General features: G+C 40.6%; 1 protein-coding gene across 16 annotated transcripts in view; it reads left to right on the forward strand.

Moving 5' to 3' along the window:
* The window catches only part of TGFBR2 (transforming growth factor beta receptor 2), an 87,787-nt gene that overhangs the window by 39,545 nt on the left and 24,133 nt on the right, over positions 1-24,109 (forward strand). For 11 of the 16 annotated variants that reach the window (NM_001407132.1, NM_001407136.1, NM_001407133.1 and 8 more), the window contains one exon: positions 4,370-4,560. The exons of 2 other annotated variants lie outside the window; for them this stretch is intronic. In NM_001407132.1, the coding sequence (NP_001394061.1) occupies positions 4,370-4,560 (191 nt within the window). Of the gene's footprint in view, positions 1-4,369; positions 4,561-15,631; positions 15,740-24,109 lie in introns of all 16 variants that reach the window. 3 more of the 16 variants (NM_001407129.1, NM_001407126.1, NM_001407127.1) reach the window with 1 other exon arrangement.

The raw sequence follows: 24,109 nt of genomic DNA on the forward strand, positions 1-24,109 counted from the left end.
CATGAATCATTTGATTAATTCATGGTTATAGATTGTGAGCATGAACAAGAAATAACCTTGATCTTTAGAAGAGTTGTAATTTTACAAAAGTACATAAATTCATTAATGAGATATGACATTTTGCAGACTTATTCTGATGTTTTTAATTTATTGGCCATTTTAAAAAAAGTAACTTATGTGTCTCCTGGCTAGTTGACAAACAAGAATATAAACCCAAATATCTCTCCCCCTTTTTTGGGAATGAGTCATTTGAGACCCCTAGACCATGTAAAGCTAGCCTTGATGATAGATCTGGAAACCTTGCAAACTTCTGTACATACCACGGGATGAACTGGTTTCTTAAGAACTGAAGGAATGTTAACAGCAAAGACTTGTCATGACATACTTGCCAATATGATATGATACCTGTCCATGTCCACTTCTAGGTAACGCTTTCAAAGAAAGGATTTGGACAAAGAATGTGTTCAGAGGAGAGGGACCAGTGTGGTTAGAGGCCTAGAAATCATGCTGTCTGAGGAATGGCCTGGGCAATTAGACATGGTTAGTACAGTGAAGAGAGATCGTGGGTTCTGCTGATGAAATTGAAAGGCTCTCAGGTAGAAAATATAATAAACATATTCTGCATAACTCTGAAGGGTAGAGGGAGGATCCATAACATTTGCAAGGCAGGCAGACTTGTGCTCAGCATAAGTTTAGACATTTTCACAATCATGGTTTCCCAACAGCAGAACAGGCTTCCTTTTCTGTAAGCACCAAGTGAAGTTCAGGAGAGGCTGGATGACCATATGTCAAATAGAATGCAGGAAAGATTGAGACACCAGACTAGATGGCCTCAAAGCTTCCTTCCGTGGTTTCTTAAATATCTACGGTGGTGTGAGCACTTGCTTTTGCAACCCAAAAAGGCTCTTTTAATTAAGATTTTTGTTTTCCTGACCAGTAATACAAGCCCAAATCATTAAATGTGAATCAAGTCTCTCTAGAATAGAGGCTTTGCTAGCCTCAAAAAAATGTGAGCATGTCGAAGAGAGGAGGCCTCCCTGTCTTTTCTGTGTCCCAGCTATAAAGGGTAAATACAATGAACATTATTTTGACCTGTGCTGGCCAAAGAAAATTCTCCCGTGAAGCCAGGGGTGTTGATAATGAGAAGGGGAAGTATAGGGTACGCTATAGTGCCCTCCTTGATCCTCCTTCATGACCAAGGCACTCATTCCCTGGGAGTGTTGGCTGTTGAAGGATCACTGCTGAGCCTTCCCTCCAGTGATGGGAGCTGCCTCATTCACGTTGGACACTTTTCATGGGTAGCCATCATCCCATGGCTAGTTGATGCAGAGAAACAAATTCCTGGTTATTTTGCCATAATGTGGTACATCTTTGAAGGACATCCCATTTTCAGAGTTTCCAAGGCATTCACTGAGGCCTTTGCTGCAACCTGCATTATAGTTTAGCTTTTTCCTTCTGTGCAATACTGTTGCCTTTAGTCGCTTACAGATGCATCTCCAAAAACCTCCTGCACAGAACTCTCACAGCCTCAAGGTCTGTTTCCAGGAAACCTAAACTAAGACAGGAGGCTATTGTAAAAATAGCCAGTGTGGAAACTGAAAGGCTCTACTATGATTGTAGATTTCAGTGTTGTTGTTTTTTTAATCAGTTTTAGTGTTTTTTCATTCATTCATTCATTCATTCATTCATTTAACTAATGTCAGTTGTGTGCCCATTCCATATAAAATGCTTAAGCTGCCTCCAAGGATAGAAATATTTTATAACCAAAATTATTATTATTATTATTTTTAAATTGAGAGGGAGTCTCCCACTGTTGCCCAGGCTGGAGTGCAATGGCGTGATCTGGGCTCACTGCAACCTCTGCCTCCCGGGTTCGTGCGATTCTCCTGCTTCAGCTTCCTGAGTAGCTGTGATTACAGGTGCACACCACCATCACGTGGCTAATTTTTTGTATTTTTAGTAGAGATGGGGTTTCACTGTGTTGGCCAGGCTGGTCTCGAACTCCTGACCTTGTGATCCGCCTGCCTCGGCCTCTGAAAGTGCTTAGATTACAGGCATGAGCCACCGTGCCCAGCCTCCAAAATTAATTTTATCATGTTGGTTCTTCTTTCAGTGGAAATTGACAACCTCTTCAGTGGCTCAGAGCAAATGTTGCAGGACAAAAAAAGAAGTCCGTATTTACTTCTTTGTATTTACCTTTCCTATGCTCAGCTATATCCAAAAAGAGTTTGAAAAGTTAGCTGTGCCTGGCTGTTACAGGAGTGAGTGGAGAAAGCAGTTAAGGGCTTTACCAGGTCTCAAGTATTACAGTTGTTTTCTCTCTGTGATGTTAGTTCTCTCAGTAGCTAAGAGGTAGAAAACCGGAGGCTCTGGAAGAGCTGCCCAATAATTATAGAGCAGCTTTCTTTCATGGCTCACAGTTCCTTCTTAGGCCTCTATAAGCGTCACAAGGAAAAGAGACCATGCCTTTCTGTGGGCACAGCATACCTTCGTTTTATTACCCAAACCAAAAACAACCTACACACACACACACACACACACACACACACACACACACACACAAAACTGTGGGGGCAGGGAGGAAGGTGTTCTTGTTCCATGACTACAGCTGATTTGAAGACTGCCAAGTAGCTTTGGGGTTAAAGATGGGTAGATTTCCAAATTATACATCATTTGTTGTATGATCATGCCAACTTTCATTTAGTTTCATTTGGTGTCCTGATAGCCACCCTCAACCAATTATTCTGCTTGTCACTCTTCCTGTCACAGCAGGGACCAACTTAGCAAAGCCTTGCTCCTCTTGTGTCTTTCGGAATTCTAGTTTAAGAACCCTTGAGCCCCTTCACAAGCAGACACATGTACCTCCACTGGAGTCAACTCTGGGCTGCATGGATGTTGACACTGGCACCATTCCTGCCTGGATTGTCCTAACCCATACCCTTGCCCTTATCCCTTTGTCAACATATTGTCCTTTAATGTCCTTGACTTAAGCACTAAAAAAGTGGTATTGGTCAAAGTTGCTCTTTCTCTCATGGGGATGGCCCCGCATCTTTTATAGGTGCAAGCTGTGTCTTAGCTGCTTCTTGCTTCTAGCCTGCCTTCCGTTTTCCTTGCTGTGAGCAGTGAGCCTTTGTGCATGGGGCAGGGAGGATTAGGGGAAAATTGGTGAGTGAGTACATGCATGCATTGGCTCATGTGTGCACTCAGAATCTTCATAGAAGATTACTCTAGCAAAACTGACTGGACCAGATTAGCCCTTCCTTCCGCTCCCTCTCTAGACAGAGAGAATGCGATTCAAGACAACAGGTATTTTGCATCTAAAAAGGACAGAGGTGAAAGGGTGGATGTCAGACTAGCCTTGTTGGACAGTCATCCAAGATAGTATGTTCATGAGGGAGCAGAGGGAGGTAGATAGAGAGGTGATACCCTTTTCCAAGAGAGCCAAAATGTTCTTTTGTTCAATTATAATAGTGGGCATTAATCATGTTGTTTAAAAATCTAATGTACACTGACGGCCAATTGAGCATTTCCTAGGGCCCAAGGAAAATGCTATGTGAGAAATTCTCTGAGCCCTGGGCTAAATTAGTCTTCAAATATGTGCTATGAAGTGATACTGTCAAAGTAGTTAGTTTATGACAGCATAAAATATTTCATTGAACTGTAAATGAAGAACACCCTGACATCCCTTTCCATTTCTTTTATTTATTTGTTTTTTTTGTTTGTTTGTTTTTTCTGAATTGCTCCTTTCTGTAATTTGGGAAAGACTGCAGTTCTTTATCTGCGATGTTTCTTCCCGTTTTTCTCAGCAGAACCAGCTGTTGACAAGGAGTATACCCTTTACACGCAATGCTCTGGGGCCCAGCAAACAAAAAAAAGAGGAACTGTGACTATTTCCCCAGGCATGCTCTTTGAAAACAGTATAGCTAGACAGGACAGATTTTGCCACTTAAACTAGGGGTGTGATGTGAGGTTTGCATTACATTCAGGATGGAAGATTTAAAATTATCCTGAGTACCTAGGAATGTTCTTTTTTTCCATGTCTTCCCCTTTAATGATTTAATTAAGACTTAAATATGTAAAGTTCTCCACCAGGACTGCCCCGTGGAACGCTGTCTGCTCCAGGTGATGTTTATAATCACAAATGGGTTCCAAGAATAAACAAAGGAAAAACAGAAAAGAGTAGAAAAGCATAGGAGACTATAGGACAGCCTGCGAATGCTGGAGAACAGGAACCAGCTGCCGTTGTTAGGAACAACTTCATGAAGGAAAAGTATTCCAGATTGCCTTTCTGTCTGGAGGCCATATTATTCATTTATTCTCTTTCTCTCTCTCCCTCTCCCCTCGCTTCCAATGAATCTCTTCACTCTAGGAGAAAGAATGACGAGAACATAACACTAGAGACAGTTTGCCATGACCCCAAGCTCCCCTACCATGACTTTATTCTGGAAGATGCTGCTTCTCCAAAGTGCATTATGAAGGAAAAAAAAAAGCCTGGTGAGACTTTCTTCATGTGTTCCTGTAGCTCTGATGAGTGCAATGACAACATCATCTTCTCAGAAGGTGAGTTTTCTTCTCTTAAGGGTGTGGGACCTGAGATCTGTGCCAATTTTTTGTATCCTTGGTCTGCAGTGTCATAGAGCACATTCCTCCTGTGGTGGATTGCATACAGTGGATTAGGAGCTCATTCAGCTGGTGGAAAGAGGGGCTTGGGGAGTAGCAGGGTTTGTTCTGGTTCTCATCAAATATGGTTGACTGGGGCAAACATTATTATTTGTCTTTGACAAATAGTTTCTTTCACCTAGAGCAGTGTTTCTCAAAGTGCGGCCTCTTGAGCAGCCAGCATCAGTATCACCTGGGAACCTGTTATAAATGCAGATTCTCAGGCCCCACTAAATGAGAAACATAGAGGGTGAACCCCAGCTATCTGTATTTTAACAAGCCCTCCCAGTAATTCTGTGCAGCTAAAATTTGGTAACTATTGTTCTAAAGATTTGGATGGGGTTGTTTAATCTTGGAGGAGGACTTTCTTTATAACTGATGTTGTTTCTTGTACATAGTCCCAGGATTTGTCTTTAGGGTACTTGTCATCGATCCCATTTGAGAGAAACATTGCAATACAGAGAGGAAATAATAAGCCAAAGTTTACCCCTAGAGCCAGGAGAAGAGTAGATTAGATACTAGCCTCCATCTTTGAAGTTCAGCGTTTACTCAGCTTGAAAGGAAGGCATACACTATTCCCTCAATTTTTAATAAGAAGAGAATTCAGTGGTTTTTAATTACAAAAGTAGTATATGCTCGTCATCAAAAATTTCAAACAATCCAACAGTGTGTGAAAATTAAAAATGAAAGTACATTTTCGTCCTCCCCTCACTCCCAATGCAACAGATCATCTGTATTGACAATGTATTAGATGCACACACGTCTCTATCATTCATTCATATTATCTCCCACTCCATCCTCTCTCCCAATCTCTCCCTGTCTTCCTTTCTCTTTCCCTCCTTTCATCCATCTGTCCATCCTTCCATCCACTCATCCATCTTTCAGTACAACTATCTGATCATACTATAAATATTATTTTGCAACACTTTTTTATACCCAACCACTTTTACAATTCCTTCTAAACAAGATAGAACACATAGATATACTGTACATCTTTTAATTTAGTCTCGAATTTCATATTATCTCCCACGATGGATCTTATCATGTCCCTGTTGATGGATTGTCTTCAGTTTTTCCACTTAATGCTACATTGAATATCTTTGTAAAAATATCTCATGCATTTGTGCTAATATTTCTGCAAGGCAGATTGCCAGAAGTGAAATTTCTAGATTAGAAATATGTGTATTTTAAATTTGAATAAGCACTACTAAACTATTCTCCTCCTGAAAAGGATGTAAGCATATGGATTTCCGTGTACCTTCTCCAACACTGGGAATGGATAAGTCTTTTAATTTTACCAGCGTGGTAGTGTAAATGTTAGTTTAGTCAACAATAGGTCTGATTTAATTAAAAAATCTTTTTGAAATACAAATGCTGGCTCTACACCCTATCTCTGCGGCCATGTGCATTCCACCTGCGAGAAGCTATGTGTCCTCGTGTTTCGTGTTTGGTGCTCAGTAGCACTGCAGATCCAGCTTGTTCTCTTCCTGTGTCCTTCACCTACTGCCATTCTCCCTATCTTCCTGTCCAACATCCCCCAGGCCAACTTCTCAGTGAACTGAAGGCAGGCATGCACATCTTGTCAGGGCAACGCTTTCCAGATTACTCTTCCTTCCTATGTTCTCATCCTCATCCTGTAAATGGTCCATTTCTCTCGTTTTCTTTTCTGGTTGTTTTTTTTTTTTTTTTTTTTTTGACGGAGTCTCACTCTGTCGCCCAGGCTGGAGTGCAATGGCACGATCTTGGCTCACTGCAACCTCTGCCTCCCAGGTTCAAGTGATCCTCCTGCCTCAGCCTCCTGAGTAGGTGGGACTGCAGGAGTGTGCCACCATACCCAGCTAATCTTTGTATTTTTAGTAGAGACGAGTTTCACCATGTTCGTCAGTCTGGTCTCGAACTCCTGACCTCAGGTGAATAACCTGCCTTGGCCTCCCAAAGTGCTAGAATTACAGGCATGAACCACTGTGCTTGGCCTCATGTTCTTTATGTGATTTGAGTTAGGAGGGAAATCTAAATAGTTTAATCACATGAAACATGGTAACACCTGATATTCTGACTTACCAGGTCAGCTTTCTTCAAGTAGATCACCTTTTAAAAGAAGGCCTAGGCTAAGCCAAAGGAATTAATCTCTGACAGTAGAATACCCAGGCATGTTTACTAGCATTGAAGAAACTTTTCTCTCCTTCTGTATACCAGCTTGTCTACAGTAGACAAGTTTATTTCCTCCAAAAGGACAAAAGTTGATAAATGGCCTGCAAGTTGGATCTATATTTTATCATTGAATATCTTTGTCAAAATATATCATGCATTTTATATTTTACTATGAGCCTTTCAGATACTAATGACTTCCATTTTCAGAGTCTTTCAACTCAAGTGATCATCATGGGCATCCCTCATATTTTTCCTCTTATTTATTCTCAGACTTTCTTATGAAGTGAGATAATAAGCATAAAGACAATTTCTCACTGTACAGTACAGGAAGCCTTTCACAGCTGACGACTCAAATGTCTGGGTGATTTCAGAGTCTTCTAAAATGCTCCAGAAGGTAGGGGGTGTTTGCTTTTTAAGCATCTCTTTTCTGTGTGGTGGGATATTTCTTCCACCTAAAACAGCAGACATTAGGAGCAACATTTTATATTCCATTTCTCCCCTTATTGCCACCATCTCTTCTTTATCTTGAGGAATGAAAACTTTTTTTTTTTTTTTTTTTGAGACAGAGTCTCACTCTGTCACCCGGGCTGGAGTGCAATGGTGCAGTCTCGGCTCACTGCAACCTCTGCCTCCTGGATTCAAGCAATTCTCCTGCCTCAGCCTCTCAAGTAGCTGGGATTACAGGCATCTGCCACCATGCCCGGCTAATTTTTATGTTTTTAGTAGAGACGGGGTTTCACCATGTTGATCAGGCTGGTCTCAAACTCTTGACCTCAGATGATCCACCTGCCTCAGCCTCCCAAAGTGCTAGGATTACAGGCATGAGCCACCACACCCGGCCAGAATGAAAACTCTTAATGTTGATTTGTCTACTCCAAGTCCAACAAGGTGGTGAACACAAAAGCTATGAAGTGCATTGTGGCTGTATTATTAGTAGTACAGTACTCTTGTTGGCAAGTTCCTGATCTGCAGCTACACAATGGATGATAATTATGTACATCTACCTTTTTTAATATGTAAGAAAAAAAAGTTGAGCCACAAGATTTTAAGTATGGATCTTTATTTCTAGTGCTACTATTAATGATAGTTAATATTCAGAGAAAACATACTGTCGCTGTGCAGGGAGCTCAGCCCTTTCCAAGCATGACCTCATTTAATCTTATAGCCACCCCATGCGAGTAGGCACTGTTAGGATCCCTGTTTATGCATGAGAAAACCAGGCTTAGAGAAATTTAACACTTTGTCTACAATCAAACAACTAGTGGGTATCAAAGCTAGGATTTATAATGGGATATGTAAGGCACTAAAACCTGTGAAGGTTTTCCTTTTTTCCTTTTTTAATTCTTTCCTTTTTTCCTCTTTTTATTTCCTTCTTTCTCTTTATATCTCTGTATGTTTCCAAAGAGATAATATATGCATATGATAAAAAATTCAAATGCTAGACAAATTCAAACATCTAGACAAAATGGTGCAGAGATTTAACATTTGTTCCTTTTGTTGTTGTTGTAAATGAGGCTTGGTTGTCTGTAGAGGCAGAGGAACACGGTAACATCTTGACATCAGACACTGGTGTCATAGATGCCCTTTCCTCAGAGGACTGAGATCATGGTTTTTAGAATGAAAGAGTTAAAGAAACCTTGCTGTTTTTTTCTTTGAACCGGGTACCTACCCTTAACCCTGGAATCCCTCAGTGGGGCCTAGTGCCAGTTCCCCTGCCTCCCTACAGTGACCAAGGGCAGGCAGGGGTCAAGAAACAACTAGAATGGGGCTGGGGTCTGCACTGCACAACTGTTCTCTCACATTCATGCTTCCCTCCCAGTCTCTGAAGATTCCCTCCTGCCAGAACATTTTGTGTAGAATTCTAAGGAAATCAGAGTCTATCCCTGTACTAACCAACATATAAAATTCCAATTAGAAGAGAAGTTGTTTGGATTGGTCATGATGGATGGCCTGGTGACAGCTGTCAGTCAGACGAGACCTGATGGGCACCAGGACTGAAGGCAGCAGCACAGGAGGTAGGAGAGGAAGGAATCCTGAGCAAATAGCCATGCTGTTTACTTGCCAATGACATCCCCACTTTGCAAAGACATGATATGGTTATTGATCTCTCACTGAACCTGTAAGAATCAAACACAACAACTCAGTTTTATTCATTTCATAAATGGTTTCCAAGTGCAGTCAGACATTTAATTTGTGGAACACTGAGCGAAGAGGTGATTTCTGCTGGTTTAGGTAAGAGAGAAACGGTCTAGTGTAATACTCAAGAATGAGCTAGATCTCCTGGATTTAAGGCTTATTCTACAGCTTATTAGCTCTGCTATGTTGGGCCAGTGACTTGACATCTCCATGCTTCAGTCTCTTCATCTGTAAAATGGAAATACAAAGCGGGTGGGAGGTGTTGTGAGGATTGAGTAGATTAATGCATGTAAAGTGCTTGCAACGTTGCCTGACATGTCACTGTCTGTTAGCTGTTAGCAGTAGTTGGGCTTTTTATAGAGGGCTGGTGACTTGTGCTTGTCTGAATGCAGGAAACCAGGCCTGTGTAGCCTTCGGTCTGTTCTAACACTGAAGTTTTGTAGTTGAGTGCTGACTGTGGTGCATAAACTGAGCATTTGGATACCTACATATCACACCACAAGGTTTTGGAGGGGCTCACTTTGCTTTAATCCCTGTTTCATCCAGTTTCTCTTTTTCTCCACATGCCTTCACAGAGGCAAGGGGAGCATGCTGAGTCTAGAATTTCTAATCAAAGCTAACCACATCCCTGTCATTGTTGGATAATATTACAAATTAGACACGTTGTTCCTGTTTTGACTCAGAATCACAGCAGGAAGCAGCTAAATAAAACTGAAACAACCCACAAGTGCCTTTCACATAAGTGATTAGGGTAATCGCAGTTCTGTACTTGCCAAAGGGATTCATTCCCTCTTCATTTTTTCCATGGAAAGCTTGCTTTGGGCCACAAGGCCTTCTCTTTGAATGACTGCGCCATTATTGGCCAAGTAGTGCTGATAAATGGTACCTGTGGGTTGTTGTGGGATTTAAGGAGATGATGCTTGGGAGCGCCCAGCACAGTGGCTGGCACACAGTAGGTGCATCCTTTCTTACTTCTTCTTCCCCTGATTAACGAGAACACTCTACACCAAGACACATACCTCTTCTGAACGGTATAAACCGTTGCTACTGAAAGTGTCTAGACCAGCAGCAGCAGGATCACCCGGGAGCTTATTAGAACTGCACAACCTTGGGTCCTCTGGGGCCTATTGCATTAGCATCTGCCTGTAACAAGGCCTTCAGTGATTTGTTTGCACACTGAAGTGTGAGAAGCACTGGTGTGAACTCACCAGGTAGGGATGGAACCAGAGATGGAGGTCTTATTAACTTCATGCTGGTAACTCCCTGAGCTAATGGGCCCATGAGGAATAAATTTGGTCTAAAGCCTGGTCATTTGGAAATGAACTAAATATACTTTACTCAGTCAGCTTGTGTAACAGAGCTCTCCAGTGGCATGTGGGTCTTTTTCAGCAGTGACAATAGTTTATTTTTTAAATATACTCCACAAATGTTGTTCTGGTGTGGATCTTAATGTGGAGAAAATCAGACACCTTTTCAGTAAGCATTTCTTTTGTTTCTGTGATCATGTTCATGTTAGTTTATTGTATTTGTATTAGTTTATCTGTGGGACTATCCCTTAATATTTCCCAAAACAAGAAGACATTTGCGAATGTTTTCAAGATGCATTGTACAAGATACTGTTTTGAACTGGATCAATGAAGGAGATGTTTGGTGGCCTTGGAAAGCCCTGGAGAGTAATAGTGTGGTTCTAAGAAGAGTTGGCCTGAATCAGTTCATTCTTGGGTTGTTTGCTAAGATTGTCTGCTGAAGGTGGGTACGTGGAAAACAAGATGGTAAGCCAAGGAGGATGAAGGGAGGCATGCTGCTGGACCACTTCCAGCTCCCAAATGACTGGATCTTGGCCATCTTGCTTTTCCTGCTAACTTAGAACTGAACTGCTTATTCTAGAAAATGAGAGGCACTGGGGCCATATAGGAAAGGGATAGCATTGGACCCAAGTCCTAGACTTTCAGTAGTTTGTTTGCAGGACCAGGGTCCCACCCCTTTTCCAATTGAAATGTAGGCAAGGTGGTGGCAAGCCCATGGCCTAGGCTGTGGGAACTCATAGAACAACTATAGTGATGATCGCTGCCTTGGATTGCAGCCTACTCTGAATGTGTGCACCTGTGCTAACTACTTTCAGGTGTGTTGTCTTGTTTCATAGACTCATTACATTTTTATGATGAAGTGAAACCCGTGAATTGGCTCCTCCAGACTTCTCATTTTAATGACAAAAAAGTGGGTCTCCAGAGAGGAGCTGGGATTTTCCAAGATCTCATAGTTTGTTCCTCACTTTTTGTCCGTAGGAGAATCATAGAAGAACCAGATAATCTTGTCTCTTATAGAAGGAATACCCTTACCCTTCCACATTCCCGTGGTGGTGGTGTGTTTGCTTTTTTATCAGTCTTAACCCATGGGAGGCTGCACAACTTACATAAGAGGCTACCTGTTCTGTTTGCCAAACGGCAGCCCAGACCCATCACTGAGCATGTCCTTGGCAAGAGGCACAACCTCAGGCTGACACTGTTTCCATGTCCGTGAGAAATGATGTGTATAAACGATGGCCAGTAAGATGCTCATCTGTTGGGAAGACAACAGAGGGCAGGGCTGAGAGCATGGCTTCCCTGCTGATTGCCTGTGTTCAGATCCCAGCTCAGCCGTGTGTAAGCTCTTGGTTCTTGGGGTAACTACTTGTTTACCTCTCTGAAAAATGGGAGTAGAAATAATGAATACTTTTAATAGGATTATTTTGAGGATAAATGTATTTATTTATGTAGAGAACTTGGCACGGCACCTGGCACAGAGTGAGCACTTAATGAATTTTGACTGTAAATAGTTATTACTGTTCCACTAGATTCAAATTTCTTATCTTTGCCTTTAGCTGGATGAGTGAGGAGATTTGTACCAACGTCATGTATTCTCCTCTTCCCTGCAAATTCCTCCACCTGAGTCCTATTGAGGTGCTCCCCATTATAAGGAGTCCTGTGAATCAAAGTGGTATGTTTACTGTAAAGAATGTGGAGGATGCTGTTCACTGCATTGTATTGTTATCTTCATGAGGAAGCCAGGAGACATTTATTTTGGCTCTCTGTTTTAGAAAGGTGTTCTCCTCATGACGACCTGTTTGCCTCTGATCTTAAGGACACTTTGAAGCATACCGAGCAGGGGTCTGCAAACTTCTTTGATAACAGGCAAGATAGTAAATATTTTCAGCTTTGCAGGGCAGAGTCTCTGTCACAGCTACTCAACTCTTCTGTGGTAGCAGCCACAGACAGTGTGTAAGTGATTGGACGTGGCTGTGTTCCAGTACAACTTCATTTACAAAAACAGGGCTCAGGCCAACCCCTGATAGAGATATTCATGGTTTTTGTGTTTCTCTCTCAAATGCTAACTACCAGAAAAGCTTAGAGTCAAATCTGAATCATGCTTCTAGCAAATATGTACCTACACATTTAGCATACTAATATCACTCTTGCTTACCAGTTTTTACCCTGTTTTCTCACATTTATATTCCATTTGTCATAATTATAGCTCCTGTCTTGACTGTATCTTCTTTCACTGTGTTTTTTGTTGTTGTCGTTGTTGTTGTTTTTGGGAATGGGATAGGACTGTAAGTAAATAAATCAATTATATCTTGCTAGCTTAGAAACCAGGACTTGAGTAACCACTTCTGACTCAAAGTTCAATCTATGTGGTTAAATAGGGAAGCAGACCATAAGATGTATGCCCAGTGGTGCACGTTGCTGACTCGCAAGCTATGTGCAGGCTTTAGCATTTAGTGTGGTGATGTGTGCCCTCTAACCTGAGATGTTGAGAGAGGGGCAGAGAAGAAGACTTCTTGTAGCCACAAAGTTTCATTCCTTCCTCTCTCATTGTTGTAGCATTTCTTTTAAGTGAAAACAGCCTTTTTGGTTTGCTAGCCTATCTCTGGCAGGAAGACAAATTATTTTTTTACAGTATCAGACACGCGGTTTCCTGTCTATGTTTAACTTGCTAGCAGAACATCTCAGCCAGCTGGTTCCCTCTGGACCCATTGTGTCCTTAATGTCGTTGCTTTACACCATCCAGCAAACCCACTCTGTGTACTGATCGCATGCATTGAGCATTTTGTTGACTTCCGTTGTTTTCCGAGTAAGGGAAGTCTTAGAAATGCTGCCCTCTTTCTCCCAAATCTCATTTTATGTTTGTTCAGCTCCAACACCAGGGAGCTGGCTTCTTGGGGAAATGATTAGTTCTTGCATGTAAGAAATGAAAAGAGTAAATGGTGTTTTGGTAGCTCTGGGGGATTTTAGGTATGCTGCCTTGGAACTGTGCACTCACGCCTCAAAATAGCTGGCTTTCCAGCTGTGCATTTTTGTTTCAAAAGAAACAAACCAGATTTACTTTCTGGTCTAAATGCAGAAGAAAAAATAAGTGTGGAAATATGGTTGAGAAAAGTTGTTAGAAGAGGAAGAAAATTATGGATTAAAGTTGCTAGTCTCATTCCTGAGAAGAGAAATCAGTTATTTGAGGTGATGACTCAGAGCTGAAGCAGCTTTTTGTTGTGAACCAGCCTTGGTTAGAAAGCACACTTGGAATTCATCAATATGGCCCTATGTCTGGCCAAGGAAATAATAAAGATTTTGCATGATAGAGGACACTGTGACTCAGTTGAAGGAAGCTTAGAATGTATTTGAACTGAATTAAGGCAAAAGCAACTCGCTTTTCAAGATTTTTTTTTTTCCTAAGTAGCAAAGTAAACAAAGCTGCACTGAGGCCAGATGTGCTTTCTGGTTGTGAATATTTGTACTCTAGAACCTCATTCTGGTATGAATCAGCAGAGTGGAATCTAGTATGGACACAGGCTGTCTCAAATTCCATCCACTGGATATGAGTGGCCAAGAAAGCAGTCGGACCCATACTGCTGGTGCTGTAGCAAGGTTCGGGTGGTTCCTCTGCAGCCTCAGGTCTCTCCCACTGCGGCCTCCATGTGTTCCATAAACTCCACACCCATGAGTAATGGCAAGAAGGGTCCACTGAGACCTTTTGCTGCTTTGCGAGTGTCTCAGTGTCCCACCAGGGGAAAAAAAAGGCTCAGGGAGGTGGCTAACCACTGTGAAATTGACTTTTATTTCCACCCACGTATACTCCAGAGGCTGTATTCACCACCATTTGGACATCTGGATGACTTGCCTTTGGAAAGTCCTTTTGTATTCTAAATCGCTCCTGCATGTTACCTGTTGTGGAAAATATCAATTTTGCCATTACAAATTATGCTTTTTTTTAAAAACATGTTAACTTTTAGAGAAATAATTTATATTTGCTTATCTACTTTTAAAAATATACATATATATGCCTTTTGTTGCCTAATTAGAGGATATAGTTGGTTCCAATGTCAAGAACAATTTCTCTGAAATGTAGTCATTAAAATTATTCCCATGTCTTTCATTTTCCAGGCCCCATCCTATTCGAAATACCTGTTTCTTCCACCAGGCTGATGTAGTTATGCTTAGGCTTGGCTGCACATTGGAAACACCTGAGTAGCTTTAAAAACTACTCATTAACTGGGTCTTACTCCTGCAGTTTCTGACTTAATTGGTCTGGGGCCTGGTATCAGGAATTATTTTTTAATTCTTCAAGATATTTTAATATGCAGCCCACATTGGGAACCACTGGACTCAAGACAGTTTGTTCTGCCAAATCTTTTTATATTTTTCGTCACGTTCCCCCTGTAGCCTGGAAAGGGACGGTAACAATTAAAGAATGGCAGCTACCACAGGAAGGAGCCAAAATTATGCCTTCGAAGGTTAGAGGAGGAGAAAAACCAACACCTGTTTTACCCCATCCTTGGAGGAATAGCAAGACACTTTAAGAGGGGATATTATTTTGTTTTCTACAACAATTTACAAGCAATTGCTTTGGAACAAGGTCAACGGCCTCATTGGGAATAGGCATCTTAGCTTTTAAAACTGATTAAATTATACGTTAAAGGAAAGCACATTTTAAACCTTAATGTGTCCAAAAGGTTGGATGGCAAGGTTTGGGTGCTACTGCCTTGGCAGAGACAAGGCAGGGACCAGGGAGGCTGTGTGCATGATTTTAGGAGGTGAGAAACTCAGGTGGGAAGGAATTGCAGAAGCCTGTGGTTCACCTGGAAAGCCAGGGAGAGAGAGAGGATGTATTCTGGTGACCTAACAGGTATTGTGAATAATGAATATGCTTTTCCAAAGCGATCTGGTCTCCCTGTTGGAGAGCATCCTGAAATAACTTAAGAAATGTACCTTGCTTTCAGGTTTCCTGAGAACATGAGGGCCCCTAGACAGAGTACAAGGTGTAATTCAGACAGCCAGCCAGAAAAAGAATTAAAGAATCAGGGCAGGTGTGGGGATCCTAACAAAACCTAAGCTTTTAGTAGTCAGAAAACTGCAATAACACAGAAAAGAAAATGAAAAAAAATCTTGTTCCAAAGAACATATATCAGGTGTGAAACTCTCTTTGTGGGAGGACAGATGTGTCATCATTTCCTGGACAAAGCCTGGTACCTTGTAGGCACCCTCCTAATGTTGGTTGCCCTCCTTTTAAAGTCAGAGCAAGAGAAGTAGCAGGAATCTATATCCTAAGGAGGAACATAAAGGGTGAAAAGCACAGTGGAAGGGATGCCTAAAAGAGCAAAGGCTGAATCAGGGTTTTAATGGCCTGAAATGACCAATTTTCTAAAACTTGACAGGTAGATGTAAAATCAGACATATAGGTTCAAACAATCGATTGCAAAGGAGCACTTGTCAAAACACTGGCTGGGAATCTGCTCATGTGATGAAGACCCCAGGGTTTAGAGGTGAGTTAAGGTCATTTTGAAATCAGGATGATCTGGCTGAAAGAATCAAAACAAAACAGAAAGAACAAACCATCAGGAGCCTTAAACTCCACTTGGTGGAAGAGGAGGTGAGAGTCCTGCTGTAATCTTTGCTACACAAGTTATATTCCAAGTATTATATCTGTGTCTATCAAAACACATGATGAAGAATCTTAAATAGCAAGCGTGGTTTCAGAGAACAGATCACTTTACCCTTAGAAAAAAGGTCCTGGCATTTATTGGGCGCTATATGCTGGGCAGGCTGATTTTAGGGTCTGATAAATCTGTCAGACTTTAGAGTCTCATCAATGTATCTCTTGAAAAGTAACCGAGGAAAACATGGCTGTTCAACCTGAAAATGAAATGATCTAGGGGTTGTGAGTTTCATATCCAGCAGGAGTTTAATAGTTCTCATCCCATAGAAAACGGATTCATTTTGTTACTTTTTGCTTTAGAGAACAGCAGAAGGACCAATAATAGAAGCACACAGAGGCTACATTTGACTTAATGTAAAGAATAATTTTAAACATATCCCAATATTTAGACTTTATCCCAATATATCTGCAGTTAGAAATATTGTGATTTGATTATGGAATGATAACAAAGGAATGATGTCCTTCTACCATAACATTTTCAGGCAGAGGTTTCACCTCTACCTCTCATGGGTATTCTAGAAAGAGATTATCATACTGGATTAGAATACATGCAAGGCTTTTCCATCTGGGAGAGAGATAAGAAGGAAATAATACAAAGGAGACTGTGCCATGGGATAGGAGAGGTGGCGAATAGCTTTGTTCTGAAATATGTGCAGTTGGAATAAAACAACCACATTGATTGGAGAGAAGACTTCTTTCATCATTTGAGGAAAAAATACTCTCAAAATATATCCAGAATGTCAAACAGTGCTATCAATAGCTAGAAGTTAAATTAAATCCTTCATTGCTAGTGAGCTTACTGTCCTTTTGTTGTTTAATTGAAATGACTTTTTATTGTTTGCCTAAATTGGTGTGCTTTTTACTAGGATGATGGATGGGGAAGCATATCTCATTCTACACTCCTCCACCAGTTAATTGACTAGAAAATTATCATGGGCCATTTTCTCATTGGCTAGTGCTGAATACAGCTGTACCAGAGCTTTGCAAACAATTCCACTAAGAAATTTTTTGTAGGAGGAAAGCATCTCTATGGCAGAGTACCAAAGAACTTAACTTTATTTTTGCTAAACTGTTTAGCAAGAATAAAATTTACCTCTGAAACTTGAATGTGTAAATGAATCACTGAGAGAACTTTTAAATGTAGATTCTGATTCAGTTAGTTGAGGACAGCGCTAAGACTCTGCATTTCCAGTAAGTTCCCAGGGGATGCTGATGACTGCTGGTCTGCGGGCACACTTAGAATAACGAGGTGACAAGTTATTCTTTATGTAACATGCCAACAAAATTTTTAAAGGTACAGAAAATGATGGCAAGATCTTTGAACTCTGCAATATGAAGCATATATGTGAGTGCTTAGCTTTCACTCTCTTTCTGTGTGTGTGTGTGTGTATACAGATACTAAGACACAGATACATTCACATATATACATCTAAATATATATACAGTACAGTCCATATTCAGATTTCTTCAAGGTTAATGGGTCTATTGTTTAAATTCGGAATCCAGTCAAGGACAACACATTAAAATTGATTGTTTTGCCTCTACAGTGTGTTTTTTTGGTTTTCATGACATTGACTTTGATTTGAATAGGTCAGACCATTTCATGTACTTTATAAAGGCACTTTGTAGATTTGTCTGATGATTTGATTAATTCAGATTAAACATTTTTTAAAGATTCTGGTGTTTTTATTGTAGGAAGTTTTTTTAAAACAGTAATTCTGCAAAAAAGCAAGGTTTGCCATTTGTATTCAGTCATATTAGTAGCAAGACGACTACAGATGCATACTTGGATGATAAAACAAGTTTAAAAGCTCAAGAAAATGATAACTATAAAAGCCAGGAATAGTGATTACTTTTTAGAGGAAGGGAGGGATCTCCGATTGAGTTGGGGAACATGAACAGACTTCTGGGGTGGCCAGCAAAATTATATTTTCTGACCTGACCAGTGGTTACAAGAGTGTTGATCTTATAGTAATTCACTAAGCCAGACACTTGTTTTATGCACTTTTCTGTATCTGTGTTTTATTTTGGAATGAATTCTTTTTCACAAGAGAGAAATCAGAGTAATTTCTCTAGTTTTGAGGGCCATACTGTGCTCTTGGGCCAAGTATATTATTTTAAATACCCTTAGGAGAAAGGAAAGAGGAAGAGAGGGCTAACTTTTTTGGGGGGGGGAGTTGGGGGGGCAGGGGGAGATGTTCTCGTTCTGTTGCCCAGGCTAAAATGCAGTGGCACCATTATAGCTCACTGCAGTCTTGAACTTCTGGGCTCGTGATCCTCCTGCCTCAGCCTTTTAAGTAGCTCAGATTACATGCCCACACCACCACATCCAGCTAATTTTTTTTTTTTTTTATACAGACAGGGTCTCAATATATTGCCCAGGCTGGTGTCAAACTCCTGGGCTCAAGTGATCCTCCCACCTCAGCCTCACGAAGTGCTGGGATTACAGGTGTGAGGCACCATATCTTCCCCCCATTTTTTTTTAATCATCTGAGTGGCTTCAAAGCTTTTGTTCTTTCCATACCACCAAGCTATCTCCTTAACAATGAACTGTGAGATCCATTTAATAATTCTGAAAATTTCCAGTCACTTCTGTCACTCATAGAGGCCAGACTTAGTTGCAAATAAGGAGCCATTTGCAAATGTCAGAGTCTTGTTACATAAATATTTTTTTAAAGACAAATGTCAAATTCTTTTTTTTTCTGTCTTCCAAAGATAAATGTTAGTATGCCATAAAAAAAAATACAAACTGGCAGAAAACCTCAAGGGGAAATCCTGTGGTATACTTTCCTTTGGAGTGATTGAAAAGTAAACAATTTGTCTTATAACTTGAGTATGCATGTGCGCACACACATGCACACGCGCGTGCGCGCACACACACGTTGCTCTCAGCCTCTTTTATGTCCTTTGTTATGCCGACACCAGTTCCTAAAAGGAACTTAAAACTGAACCTCCCTAATCCACTATTTTAAATAAAAGTCACTTGGTTAAAAAAATAAAAGCATTAAATTAAGGCCAACTTGGTAAATAAAATCCTATGTGGATCAGTTAATGTGTCTTGATAAAAAGCAAATCAACATAGCTGAATTTGGGAGATAGGCTCCTACTTTAATATTTGAAGTAGTTTGGCAATTCCTCCACTCGGTAAAGGAGTTTAGGGTGAACATTTAGTGGGATACTAATTTATCCGAGCAATAGAAAGGGACGTGGATGACAGTTTTTCGCACACCTTGGTGTATTAGTGCACTAATGAGCCTCAGATGCCAAGAGAGATTCTTGTGAAGTTGGCAGTGAAGCTCTAGCCGCAAGGATGTTCACATGCCAGCATGTTCACCTAAAGCGAGAGTATATATGCAACTGGCTGAGATCCAAAGAAGGAAACTGTGCTAAAGAGAGATAGCTGAGGGGAAGGAAGAACTTCCTGTCTCAAGTCATGTTAATTATAACATTAAAAGGACAGCATTCATTTATTGAGTACTTACTAGGAACAACTTTTACTTAACAAGAATACTTATTTACTAAGTAGACAAAAATGTTGTAGAAGCAACCAAGGTTCAGTATCCTCCTCTGTAAAACGGGGGTAAGAGAATCTAACTCATACATAGGGTTATTGGAGAAATAAAGTAGATCATGTTTACAAAATAAATTGTCCGGTGCCTAACCCAACAAAGCACATCGTATATGAGTTATCTTTCTTATTGTTACAAGATTTCAAAGGAGGGCTTCTCCTCAAATTCTACACTGCGGAGCTCCCTTCCCACTCCACAGAAGCTCCGACAGCATCCACAGTTGTCCATGTGCAGCACAACAAATCAAGCCAGGCAGATCTCCCATTGGCACTAGTTACCAACTTCCTAGAGAAACCCATCAATCTCAAAATTCCTGCTCTAGCAAGTCCTGGAAAAGAGACTAGAGCCCAAATGCCTTCACTCTGCCAAGGGAGCTTCCCTTTTTGTGTGTCTGTGCCATGGACTTCTTGAAGTAGGGAAGCCTGTGGACCCCTTCTCACTGTGATGTTTTTTAAATGCATAAAATAGAACATGGAGTATTTCAAAGAAAACCAATTACATTGAAATACAATGACCAAATATTTTAAAAATGAATTTGTGTTATAGTAATATATGTTTCTATAATAATGCTTTAAATAACAATAGCAGCAGATCTAAACAATTGAAATGTCTAAATGGTGAGCGTAAGTCACATGCTGAGACGTCTGCAACAACAAACTCATAGGTACAGCTGATACTAGGAAATATTAATTTTTAATTAAAGGTTAGAGAAAATAAAAAAAGATGCAATTTTTGCCCATTCAAATTCACAGACCCACTGAACTCTATTTATGGAACCCAGGCTAAAAATGTTTACTATTATAGCCTCATTTTTTTATGGGCCTTGGATAAATTCCACCCTTATTTTTAATGCCCTTCAGAGCTATATCTGGTTCAATGTTATTACTATTCATGGAAGGTCCCAATAGTGCAACAATTATGTTTTGAGCTCTGCTAAGATCTAGGCCATGAGAATAGGCTCTGAGAAAAGAAAAAGATTTGGGGGTTCTCCTTCACATAAAACTTTTTATTTCCTGGCAGGAAAAAGATGCATATTTACAGAGACACTACTAAACTGTGGTTCTTAGTTCAGAACAAAGGAATATAATCCCCATACCCAAAATATACTCCTTTAGACACATTATACAAGAATTGCCAATGTCAGTCGGTGGATGGCTGTAAAATCACTTAGTCCAGGCTACACTAAAGAAAAACACTTTATCAAATTGGGAGCTTATATAAAGTCATTCTTCCCCTCCCCCGCAACCCCTACCCCCCCATCCCCGCCCGCACAAACACAGGGTCTTGCTCTGTTACCCAGGCTGGAATGCAGTGGCAGGATCATAGTGTGCTGCCGCCTTGAACTCCTGCCTCAAGTAAAGTAATCCTCCTGCCTCAGCCACCGTAATAGCTGGGACTACAGGAAGCACCACAGTGTCTGGCTAATTTTTTTTTTTTTTAAGTTTGTGTAGAGACAGTCTCACTATGTTGCCCAGGCTAGTCTCAAACTCCTAGGCTCAAGTGATTCTCCCGCCAAAGTGCTAGGATTTCAGGTGTGAGCCACCACACCCAGCCTAAGGTCATTGCCATTCTTAGTTGGCTCTCACCAATATGAAGTTTAGAGATCAGGTATGGGGTTGAGATCAGAAGTCTCTCCAATCAGGCAATGCTCATTGTAAATACCAGCTTTGCTGTTGCCTAAATTTATCATCTGGGAAAATTACTTAAACTGTCTGATCTTTAGCTTCCCTATCTGTAAAATGGGGTTTATAATAATAGCAGTTTCTACCTCATAGGGTTTTTCTATCAATTAAATTTAAATATTCTATAAAATCCTTAGCACACAGCCAGGAACTTAGTAAGTGTTCAGTTTATGAGTTTCTCTGTAACTGGCGGCTGATGAAAAGAAGCATTTCCTGTTGGTCTTCGACTAAAGGAGATGCTGGCTTGTACCTACACCAACAGCTGTTGGGTTTTCTAGTAGCAACCCAAGGGTTAATACTGCCAGAGGGTGTGGGTGGCTCCTGTTTAGATAAAGCCACATCCCAAAGCTTCCTTCCAGCCCTGGTTGCTATTGTTAGAGTTTTTCACCACCTCTTTGAAGTTTCAAGATTGACAGATGTTATTCAAGAATTCCTCCCCCTCAAATTTTTTAAGTGTAAGTCTTCTAAAGAAATAACAGGAAATTTTAGGAGAAAGTAAAACTTTGGTTTCTGACATTGAACTGGGGATTTCTAGAATCTTCTTCAGTCAGTGCCACACATAAACTTAAGGGGATTTCTGTTTTTGTGTTTCCTTTAGGCTAAAAAGGAATTGAAATTAGCAAATACGACTGTTTTTATAGATATTTAGGAATTGTAAAATAAAATTATCCATGATGAATCAACATTTCATCTGGACGTTTTAGTGAATTAAGGACAAAGCTAAGTAATTATGCAGTTAATATTTAAATTTTTTCAAATTGTATTTCTCATATGTGAAAAAAAATTGACTACATATTCACATTTGGCCAAAGTGAAGTCTCTCCAGATTCTGCCAATGAGGTTATTAAAATAACACCTCTAGAACAGGGGTCAGCAAAGTTTTTCTGTGAAGGGCCAGATAGTAAATATTTTAGGCTTTCTGGGCCAGATAAGATCTCTGTTGCATGAACCTCTTAGTTTTATTGTTTTTTAAACAACTCTTTAAAAATGGGGATGGAAATCATTCTTAGGTCATAGGACTATACAAAAGCAGGCCATGGACTTCTGAGCCATAGTTTGTCAAACCTTGCTGTAAAATATAAAAAATTTGAGAAGTATCATTCCACGTAAGTAATCATTCAGCTTCTAAAACAAACGTTTGTTGAATACCATAAATTGCCCCATTCTGCCCCAGGTGCTGTGTATATCATGATGATCAAAACAGACCTGGCCACTACCCTGCTTTGTCAGGAGAGAAGCAATCAGATAATCAAGTGGATTTCTGATTATAAGACATTCCATGTAGTTACAGACACAGAGACCGGAGACAAGTGGGTACTTCAAGCAAACACATTCATTGGATACCACATATAATAGAGGTGGAGTTTCAGGCAGGGAGCATTGTGGAAGTGGTAAGCCTAAGTGGAAATGCCGACTGCTGGATCGGCTGTTGTGTTTGAATTTGTGTTGTGTTCATCTGCCCCCTTAATTTTGTTTGCTGTACAACAGGGACAGTCCATACATCTCCACAAGAGCATCTTTTTTTTCTTTTGCATTCAATCATTCTGTAATTGCTTTGTCCCACCCCATTTCTGCCCTACTCTTGCCTGTTCTTTGTCCCAATCCAAGCCTCCCAGTGTAAGAATTTATGTTTTTAAGGATCAATCACCAAATTTTCTCACTTTCCCTATACTTTTAAAATGCATTCATATATCTTTCCAAAAAATGGTGATTTTTTTTTTCCCTCTTGGTTGCTGGAATTCTGATATCTTGGGGTTACTTCTCTGGTTACTAGACCCAAGATTTTCATCTAGAATATATAGTCAGTGGAAGTTGGCATTTCCACTCAGACTTACCTTAAGAACAAGTAATCATATTACACATAAACCTTAAAAATGGATATGTACCAGCTTCATTTCTCACTGTTTCGTTAGATGAAAGTTTCAGATGCTGGGCCAAGCGCAGTGGCTCACGCCTGTAATCCCAGCACTTTTGGAGGCCAAGGCGGGCAGATCACAAGGTCAGGAGTTCAAGACCAGCCTGGCCAACATGGTGAAACCCCGTCTCCACTAAAAATACAAAAAAAAAAAAAAAAAAAAAAAAAAAAAAAGCTGGGCATAGAGGCTAAGGCAGGAGAATGGCTTGAACCCAGGAGGCAAGGTTGCAGTGAGCAGAGATCGTGCCATTGCACTGCTGCCTGGGTAACAGAGCAAGACTCCATCTCGAGAAAAAAAAAAGAAAGTATCAGATGCTGAAGTAGCTATGTAGACTGGGGTATATAACCTGGGGTTCATCATCATGAGCCAGGAAAATTTAGGATATGAACACACATGAGGAGTTTAGGAGTGGAGGTTTAATAGGCAGAAGAGAAGAGAAAGAGAAACAATTCTCTCTGTAGAGAAAGGAGTCTCCAAGCGGAAAGGACGGGCCAGTGGTGAATGTGCTGGATTTTATAGTCCCGTTTGAAGAGGCGGTGTCTGATTTACATAGGGCTCACAGATTGGTTCAATCAGGTATGACGTTTACATAGTGCATGGGGAAGACTGGTCACCCCACCCTAATCTTATTATGCAAATGGGCTTTCCAGTTGATCAGCACCATCTGGTCTGTTCTTTGTTGTACACATGGCTGACAAAGAGAAGGGAAGATGGAGCTGCCATCTTGAACATGTCCTTAGTTCCTGCTGGCATTCACCCGTGCAAGCTCCCAGCTTGCCTGTCTATGTCTGAAGCTCAACTTTACAGGCTGCTCTTTGTTAGAAAATGATTTGGGGCTGCTTTTCATTAAAAAGAAACACCTTACCGAGGACTTCCATACCCTTACTATCTGCCCAAGTAATTTCTTCTTAACTCCTTTATCAGTATCATTTAGGTAATGGGTTCCCCTTGAGAGAATTTGGTTATATCCTCATTCTACCTGGACTATATTCTCATCACTTTTTTTTTTCTCTTTAAACACCTACTGTAG

Source organism: Homo sapiens, chromosome 3, assembly GCF_000001405.40.
Source record: "Homo sapiens chromosome 3, GRCh38.p14 Primary Assembly".
In the NCBI taxonomy this organism is placed as follows: Eukaryota; Metazoa; Chordata; class Mammalia; order Primates; family Hominidae; genus Homo; species Homo sapiens.